This window comes from Homo sapiens, chromosome 14 (assembly GCF_000001405.40).
Source record: "Homo sapiens chromosome 14, GRCh38.p14 Primary Assembly".
NCBI lineage: Eukaryota > Metazoa > Chordata > Mammalia > Primates > Hominidae > Homo > Homo sapiens.
This window is the reverse complement of record NC_000014.9, coordinates 45,886,253-45,895,228: the sequence shown is the minus strand read 5'-3', so window position 1 is coordinate 45,895,228 and position 8,976 is coordinate 45,886,253. Positions and strand designations below refer to the sequence as shown.

Here is an 8,976-nt window from a genome sequence, read left to right as displayed (position 1 = left end):
AAATTAATGGTCCCTTGTAGTATTGGGTAATTTATTTTCTAATAAATTACTCCTTGTATTCCTGACTTATTTATTTTCTAATACCTGGTCCAAAATTCAAAAAGCAATGAGCTTAAGAAACTGGTTTTGAACACAAAGTCTTCATGGCTACAGACAATGTCCCAGCATTTTTGCAGTTCTGAGAACATCTCTCCTAATTATTCTGAACAGTGAGACAGCCAATTCCAAGCAAGTAGATTCACTAAGTTAACCGAAGCATGCAAGAAGAACAGATAACTCTACTGTCATTATGAGATTGTACATTTCTTAGAACCAGAAATTCATTGTGACATGATGTCAAATAAGTTTGGAATTCTCCCCATTTAATAACCCTCCCCGACCACCCCCAGCCCCTTAACCCCCCTTCCCCTGCCAATATAGGAAGTTAGTCTCTGATTTGTAGACACTATGATATCAAATATAAGGAAGAGAATACTTTAAAGGTATGATAAATAATCACTAATAACCCAGTGCCTGAAATTAAAGAAAATAAGGGTCAAGGCCACTGAGGAATTTCACGCAAATAGAAAATACCATTGTAAACTTTGTTGCCATCACCCATCAGACTGATTAGACAATGCCATTTCATTGGTTCTAGTCTCATAAATTATAACCTGTAAGGATTTCTGGTCTATAAATATCTTCTTTACCCATCTGCTAACTCTCTAGAATTAGACTCTTAAGGATCCATAGTTTGGCTTAAGAAAGTGTTACTTAGCCCAGGCTGTACATTAGGATCACCCAAGGAGCTTAAATAAATATATCACCTAAATATTCTCCAAACTGTATTCTCAAGTTAATGATTGAATTGATTTAGGGTAGAGCCCAGGCAAGGTTTTTGGGTTTGTTTTTTTTTTCATTGCTTTTTTTGTTTGTTTTTTAAGACTTGAGATGGGGCTGATTTGGGCACATGGAGTTCTTATGTAGGAAGGTGAAATTGCATCTGGTCCCCTGTATGTTAGAGCAGATAAAGGTTATATTGATAGGCACGTTCTAGATGTATGGAGGAGAAAGGCACAGAAAGAACAAGACAGAAATTTAAATTACTCACTGCAGTATTTTGTTGAGAATCAATTCGGATTGGTCATCATGGCTTAATGAGAGTGCAAAAGCCTGATGAAGAGTAGATGGACTTGGAAAAATTTGATCCAAGGTGAATTTTAGAAACTAGCCCTGAAATGCTCTCATGGATAACAACCACAAACATGTCTGACAAGCATTGTCTTTACCATAATTCTTAGCTCGGTAGGTAATTTCTCTGCTTGAGATGGAGGAAAGTTTTCACCAAGACAGTAATTAATTTCACAAAAGTCACTCAGCATTCACTCTTACTCCAACTGGGAAAATAATAAGTTAAATTTAAGTAATGCCTTCTTTTCAAAAAGAACACATATATCCATGTGGAGAAAGATGACAAGAATCACTTCTCTCTCGTAGGCTGATATTGTCACTTACACACAAATTTGACAAAATGAGAAAGAGTTTATAGCAGATCCCACTTCTACATCTCAATTTCAAAAGTTATGGAACTACTAAATGAGATTTAAAACCTTTTCAGAGTGCTATAAATGTTTGAGGAGTAATGACTTATTTTTAAAATGTAGCAAAACTAACTGCTCTCACAACAAAAAGAAAATAATACAGGCTTTCTAAAATACTACAATCAGGTTTGTTCAAAAACAGGACCATTTGAGTAATAAATTCTAAAATAAAAGAATTTTTTAAATCCAAATGCAAATCTTTTACTCCTCTGTAATTTATTTTATTGGGATGCCAGTAAAATATCATGTGTTATTTGCAATTTGCAAGCAGGAATTCTTCACTCACCAGAGCATATCAGTGTTGTCTGGGCACTTAAAGCAACCAGGTATGTTTTATGGCATTGCACCAACGCCAGGAGATTATGACGGTAACAAGTTACAAATTAAACAGCTCTGATATAAACATTTTATTTAATTTTTCTTTTTTACAGAAATTAGTTAAGAGAGTTAAATTACTTAGCAACCAAATGGAAAATAAGCAAAAATATAAGATCACGTAACTTTGAGATAATGTTGTTAACAGCCAAGCCTAATGGCTGGGACACACATATTACTGCCCCAAGGTGAGCTGTGAGTCCATCTGCTGCTTCCTATTTGATTTCTTGAAGTGATGCTAACTGCTAATTAACCGTGAAAAGTTGTGCTGTGAACCTTTCACCTGAAGTTCTTCTGAAAGAGTAAAAGTTCTTAAGGTGCATTCAGAGCAATGTATATAGAATCAATTGCCGGTTCAGCAGTGACCTGCTGTCCTGCAGAACAGAGCATCAAGCTGTGATTGTTCAGCTCTTGGGAAAGAAACTTTTTTCACTTTTTACTGCCTGACACAAACACATCCACTGAACTGTTTTGTGTGATTTGGTTTGCTTTTCTAATAGGCCTTAGCTCGTTAGATGATTTGACCCAGGAGCAGAGCAACCTGACTTCTTCTACCCTACATGCAGACAGTGTTAGAGATAGTATATCTTATAACGCAGATCCCAGGCCCCAGAGTCAAAATTTCTTGCTGCTTTTTTTAGCTTCACAAAATAGAAAACTGATTCTCAGCTTTGGCTGCACATTGGAATCACCTGGGGAGCTTTTAAAAATGCTGATGTTTGGGGCCCACCCCAAGAAATTATGATTTAATTGGTATGGGCATTGCCTGGGCATTGGGGAGTTCTGGAAGTTCCCCCTGCTGATTCTAAACAGCCAAGAGTGAGAACTACTGACTTAGGAGGTCCTCATTAGTTCTGATTATCCCTTCCTGAACTCTAACAAGACTGGTTCCTAGCCCCTGGATGCCATCGGGAACTACCAGAGCAACTACCAGAGCACTATGACTCTAAGACCCTCTGAACTGTGATCCCTGTGCTACAGTTCCATACAATCCCTTGTCTGACACATTTTCCCACTCCTCTCATCCCCACATACTCTCTTTACCCTAGGAAATTCCCAGTCTGTCATCAGCAAAATCACCTGAGTCGTCAACAACGCTTGACTATTCTCTCACCTGTTTGCTCTGAAACCTGATTCTCATAAGAAAACCCACTTTTCTTTGGACCTTACTATTTTCTCTCCCACACCCCAAGTACCACTGGTGTAAAAGTCGGGTAGGGTAACGTCACACCAAGTGTCAGGTTCCAGCCCATGCGGAGGACCGAGGGGAGTGGGTGGACAGGTGGCAGATAGCTGAAAGAACACTCGATGGGGCGTGGGCAGGTGAAATATGGCTTTTATTGTGCGCTCTCTCTGTCAGCTTTTGTCTTGGCTGCCTGCTCCAGCTGCAGCCCCTCTTAGCAACCGGCTCTGCGGCTCCTGCCACTCCCACATTTACAGCTGCACTCCCCGGCGCTCTTGCTAGTTCCTGACTCCCGCTGCCTGCCTTCAAGGCAACTGGCTCTCCCTTACAGGGTCGGCAGCTTCATTCTTTCTGGGTGCGAGCCTTGTGCACAGCATTAGCAGGGCAGTTATTACCTTTTTACAGGCAATGGTGGCTCAGATTCAAGTATGAACTTACACAAACAGGTTATATAACAAGTGGAGTTGTGTGCCAGCACTCCAAACGCACTGAGTCACGCTGACCCGGATGTCTGCCTTGGCCTATTCTTCACCAAAACACATCCATTTTCCTTACAGGTAACTTTTGCTTGTCATTGTTTGCACGCTATTGTTGCAGACTTTTCCCTGAAAGTCTCTGGATCCTTGTGAGATTCCTCCTTATTTTAGACATCTAAAAGCTCCAAGACATTCCCTCTCCTTCCTGAAGCTATGGCCCCTATTACTCTTTATATTAATACTCCTAAAATAGTTCTTGAAGATTTCAGCATACTCTTATTTCCTTTAGCTTTTACCTTACTGTGTTAGTCCATTCTTCCACTGCTATAAAAACATACCTAAAACTGGGTAATTTATAAAGTTGTTTAATTGACTCACAGTTCTGCAGGCTTAGGAAGCATAACAGGGAGGTCTCAGGAAACTTACAATTATGGTGGAAGGTGAAGGAAAAGCGCACACGTCTTAACAATGGAGGAGCAGGAGAGAGAGGGAGGGAAAGCCATACTCTTTTAAACCATCAAATCTCGTGAGAACTTACTATCACGAGAACAGCAACGGGGAAACCACCCCCATGATCCAATCACCTTCTACAAGGTCCCTCCCTCCACATGTGGGGATTATAATCCCAGCTGAGGTTTCAGTAGGGACACCGAGTCAAACCATCTCACTTATCAAACAAAATTGCTTATCTGACATCTCACTTATACTACATGCTCCCATGATCATATATTGGAACAGTTTTCAAAGTACAGCCAGAATCATAACCACCTAGTTAAAAATATAGGTTGCTGGATCCACCCCCGAAGTTTAGGAATCAGTAAGTCCAGAGTAGGGCCTGAGAATGTGCATTTCTTAAGTTCCCTGGTGATGCCAATACTGCTGGTTCAGTGACTACACTTTGAGAGCCATCATATTAGAGTCTAGTAACTACAAATCATTATTGTCAATAACTACACTCACTCCACAGTCTGAGTTTCTAATATTCCACTCTCCAAAACTAGGATATTGTTAGATTATCTTTATTGCAACTCCAACAATTTTTTTGCAAACTGACTGAGACCTAGGGTTTATTGACATTTCTCTTTCCTCCATCATCTCTCCCATAATATTTTTTGTATTCTTACCCTCTTTAGACTTCATAGTCCATCATTAGCCTCACTTTCTCTGATAAAAATCAAAATCCACATTTTAATTACTTTTTTGCTCCTAAAATACTTCCTTTATTTGGCTATCGGGATACTTTCTCTCTCTCTCTCTTTCTCTCTCTCCACTCCTACTTACTGTCTGCAACATTTCCACATCTTCTTGAATTTGCATTTTCTCCATACTTCTTTTATGTATCTGCACACACTGTCCATTAATATTATCCAGTTCCGTGGCTTTCAGTATGATCTTTCCCCTGGGACCTAGTCTCTATTTTCAACTGCTAACTTGACATCTGCACTTAAATATCTAACAAAAACTTCATACTTACTGTACTCTAAACAGAAGTCTTGATCTAATTTCATCCCCAAACATGCTCATTTTCATTATTATCTGTCTAATCTCTTGCCTACACTATTGAACTTCTTCTTAGCAGGCTCTCACTTCCACTATTGCCTACTACTCAATATGAATGACAATTTTAAAATGTAAATCAGAACGTGTCTCTGCTATGCTCAAAATCTTCTAGAGGCTTCCATCCCATTCAGAATCAGTGTCTTCACCAATGCCTAAAGAGATGTCACAGAATATCCCTTTCCTGTGCTTTCCTCATCCTTGGTTCCCTCTTGGATTTTTTTCCTATAACTCTCACGCCAAATAAGGCCTTTCCAACAAAATCGATCTTTCTGTCTGAAGAAAATTACTTTTTCACAACCATTGCATTTATTTTATTCCTTCTATCTAGAATGTTATTTCCACAAATATCATCCTGGATCTCTCCCTGTTTTTGTTCAGACTGAAATAGCAAATAATCAGACAGGTCTCCCTCAATTATACCTAAATTAGAATCTCCAGATTATCCTATCCCTCATCTTACCACCCTCTAACCACATTACCCTGTTTTATATTGTCTTTATATTCCTAACACCATATTGATTTCTTTATTTCCTCTCTCTCTCCAATTTAAGTTCCAAGATAGCAGGACATTTTTTATTTATTATTTTATCCTTAGAGCCAAAAACTGCCTGTATCATAGCATGTTTTCAGTAATATTAGATGACGGATAAATAAAAATGTTTAGTTTTCTTGTTTATAAAATGGGAAATAAGACTTCATTGTTATAAAGATTAAATGTATCTATATATACAAAACATTAGCACCAATGCTAGCACATAATAAGTCCTTGATAAAAGTAAAAATAAAAACATGACCAGGGGAGGAGCCAAGATGGCCAAATAGGAACAGCTCAGGTCTACAGCTCCCAGCGTTAGCGACGCAGAAGACGGGTGATTTCTGCATTTCCATCTGAGGTACCGGGTTCATCTCACTAGAGAGTGCCAGACAGTGGGCGCAGGTCCAGTGGGTGCGCGCACCGTGCGCAAGTGGAAGCAAGGCGAGGCATTGCCTCACTTGGGAAGCGCAAGGGGTCAGGGAGTTCCCTTTCCGAGTCAAAGAAAGGGGTGACTGACAGCAACTGGAAAATCAGGTCACTCCCAACCGAATACTGCGCTTTTCCGACGGATTTAAAAAACGGCGCACAACAAGCTTATATCCCGCACCTGGCTCCGAGGGTCCTACGCCCAGGGCGTCTCGCTGATTGCTAGCACAGCAGTCTGAGATCAAACTGCAAGGCGGCAGCGAGGCTGGGGGAGGGGCGCCCGCCATTGCCCAGGCTTGATTAGGTAAACAAAGCAGCTGGGAAGCTCGAACTGGGTGGAACCCACCACAGCTCAAAGAGGTCTGCCTGCCTCTGTAGGCTCCACCTCTGGGGGCAGGGCACAGACAAACAAAAAGACAGCAGTAACTTCTGCAGACTTAAATGTCCCTGTCTGCAGCTTTGAAGAGAGCAGTGGTTCTCCCAGCACACGCAGCTGGAGATCTGAGAACGGGCAGACTGCCTCCTCAAGTGGGTCCCTGACCCGACCCCCGAGCAGCCTAACTGGGAGGCACCCCCCCAGCAGGCGCACAGTGACACCTCACACGGCAGGGTATTGCAACAGACCTGCAGCTGAGGGTCCTGTCTGTTAGAAGGAAAACTAAGAAACAGAAAGGACATCCACACCAAACACCCATCTGTACATCACCATCATCAAAGACCAAAAGTAGATAAAACCACAAAGATGGGGAAAAAGCAGAACAGAAAAACTGGAAACTCTAAAAAGCAGAGTGCCTCTCCTCCTCCAAAGGAACGCAGTTCCTCACCAGCAATGGAACCAAGCTGGATGGAGAATGACTTTGATGAGCTGAGAGAAGAAGGTGTCAGATGATCAAATTACTATGAGCTACGGGAGGACATTCAAACCAAAGGCAAAGAAGTTCAAAACTTTGAAAAAAATTTAGAAGAATGTATAACTAGAATAACCAATACACAGAAGTGATTAAAGGAGCTGATGGAGCTGAAAACCAAGGCTCGAGAACTACATGAAGAATGCAGAAGCCTCAGGAGCCGATGCGATCAACTGGAAGAAAGGGTATCAGCAATGGAAGATGAAATGAATGAAATGAAGCAAGAAGGGAAGTTTAGAGAAAAAAGAATAAAAAGAAATGAGCAAAGCCTCCAAGAAATATGGGACTATGTGAAAAGACCAAATCTACGTCTGATTGGTGTACCTGAAAGTGATGGGGAGAATGGAATCAAGTTGGAAAACACTCTGCAGGATATTATCCAGGAGAACTTCCCCAATCAAGCAAGGCAGGCCAATGTTCAGATTCAGGAAATACAGAGAACGCCACAAAGATACTCCTCAAGAAGAGCAACTCCAAGACACATAATTGTCAGATTAACCAAAGTTGAAGTGAAGGAAAAAATGTTAAGGGCAGCCAGAGAGAAAGGTCAGGTTACCCTCAAAGGGAAGCCCATCAGACTAACAGCGGATCTCTTGGCAGAAACCCTACAAGCCAGAAGAGAGTGGGGGCCAATATTCAACATTCTTAAAGAAAAGAATTTTCAACCCAGAATTTCATATCCAGCCAAACTAAGCTTCATAAGTGAAGGAGAAATAAAATACTTTACAGACAAGCAAATGCTGAGAGATTTTGTCACCACCAGGCCTGTCCTAAAAGAGCTCCTGAAGGAAGTGCTAAATATGGAAAGGAACAACCGGTACCAGGTGCTGCAAAATCATGCCAAAATGTAAAGACCATCGAGACTAGGAAGAAACTGCATCAACTAATGAGCAAAATCACCAGCTAACATCATAATGACAGGATCAAATTCACACATAACAATATTAACTTTAAATGTAAATGGACTAAATGCTCCAATTAAAAGACACAGACTGGCAAATTGGATAAAGAGTCAAGACCCATCAGTGTGCTGTATTCAGGAAACCAATCTCACGTGCAGAGACACACATAGGCTCAAAATAAAAGGATGGAGGAAGATCTACCAAGCAAATGGAAAACAAAAAAAGGCAGGGGTTGCAATCCTAGTCTCTGATAAAACAGACTTTAAACCAACAAAGATCAAAAGAGACAAAGAAGGCCATTACATAATGGGAAAGGGATCAATTCAACAAGAAGAGCTAACTATCCTAAATATATATGCACCCAATACAGGAGCACCCAGATTCATAAAGCAAGTCCTGAGTGACCTACAAAGAGACTTAGACTCCCACACATTAGTAATGGGAGACTTTAACACCCCACTGTCAACATTAGACAGATCAACGAGACAGAAAGTCAACAAGGATACCCAGGAATTGAACTCAGCTCTGCACCAAGTGGACCTAATAGACATCTACAGAACTTTCCACCCCAAATCAACAGAATATACATTTTTTTCAGCACCACACCACACCTATTCCAAAATTGACCACATACTTGGAATAAAGCTCTCCTCAGCAAATGTAAAAGAACAGAAATTATAACAAACTATCTCTCAGACCACAGTGCAATCAAACTAGAACTCAGGATTAAGAATCTCACTCAAAACCGCTCAACTACATGGAAACAGAACAACCTGCTCCTGAATGACTACTGGGTACATAACGAAATGAAGGCAGAAATAAAGATGTTCTTTGAAACCAACGAGAACAAAGACACAACATACCAGAATCTCTGGGACGCATTCAAAGCAGTGTGTAGAGGGAAATTTATACCACTAAATGCCCACAAGAGAAAGCAGGAAAGATCCAAAATTGACACCCTAACATCACAATTAAAAGAACTAGAAAAGCAAGAGCAAACACATTCAAAAGCTAGCAGAAGTCAAGAAATA

The 8,976-nt window shown here is 40.7% G+C and overlaps 2 annotated features.

Annotated features, from left to right (window-relative positions):
- Nucleotides 5,693-6,320: an enhancer, noted in NCBI's record as "NANOG-H3K27ac-H3K4me1 hESC enhancer chr14:46358112-46358739 (GRCh37/hg19 assembly coordinates)". NCBI's record gives its function as "activates a minimal SCP1, AML or CMV promoter by ChIP-STARR-seq in naive H9 embryonic stem cells {active_cell/tissue: H9 hESC(naive)}" and the evidence as "EXISTENCE:reporter gene assay evidence [ECO:0000049][PMID:30033119]".
- Nucleotides 6,321-6,949: an enhancer, noted in NCBI's record as "NANOG-H3K27ac-H3K4me1 hESC enhancer chr14:46357483-46358111 (GRCh37/hg19 assembly coordinates)". NCBI's record gives its function as "activates a minimal SCP1, AML or CMV promoter by ChIP-STARR-seq in naive H9 embryonic stem cells {active_cell/tissue: H9 hESC(naive)}" and the evidence as "EXISTENCE:reporter gene assay evidence [ECO:0000049][PMID:30033119]".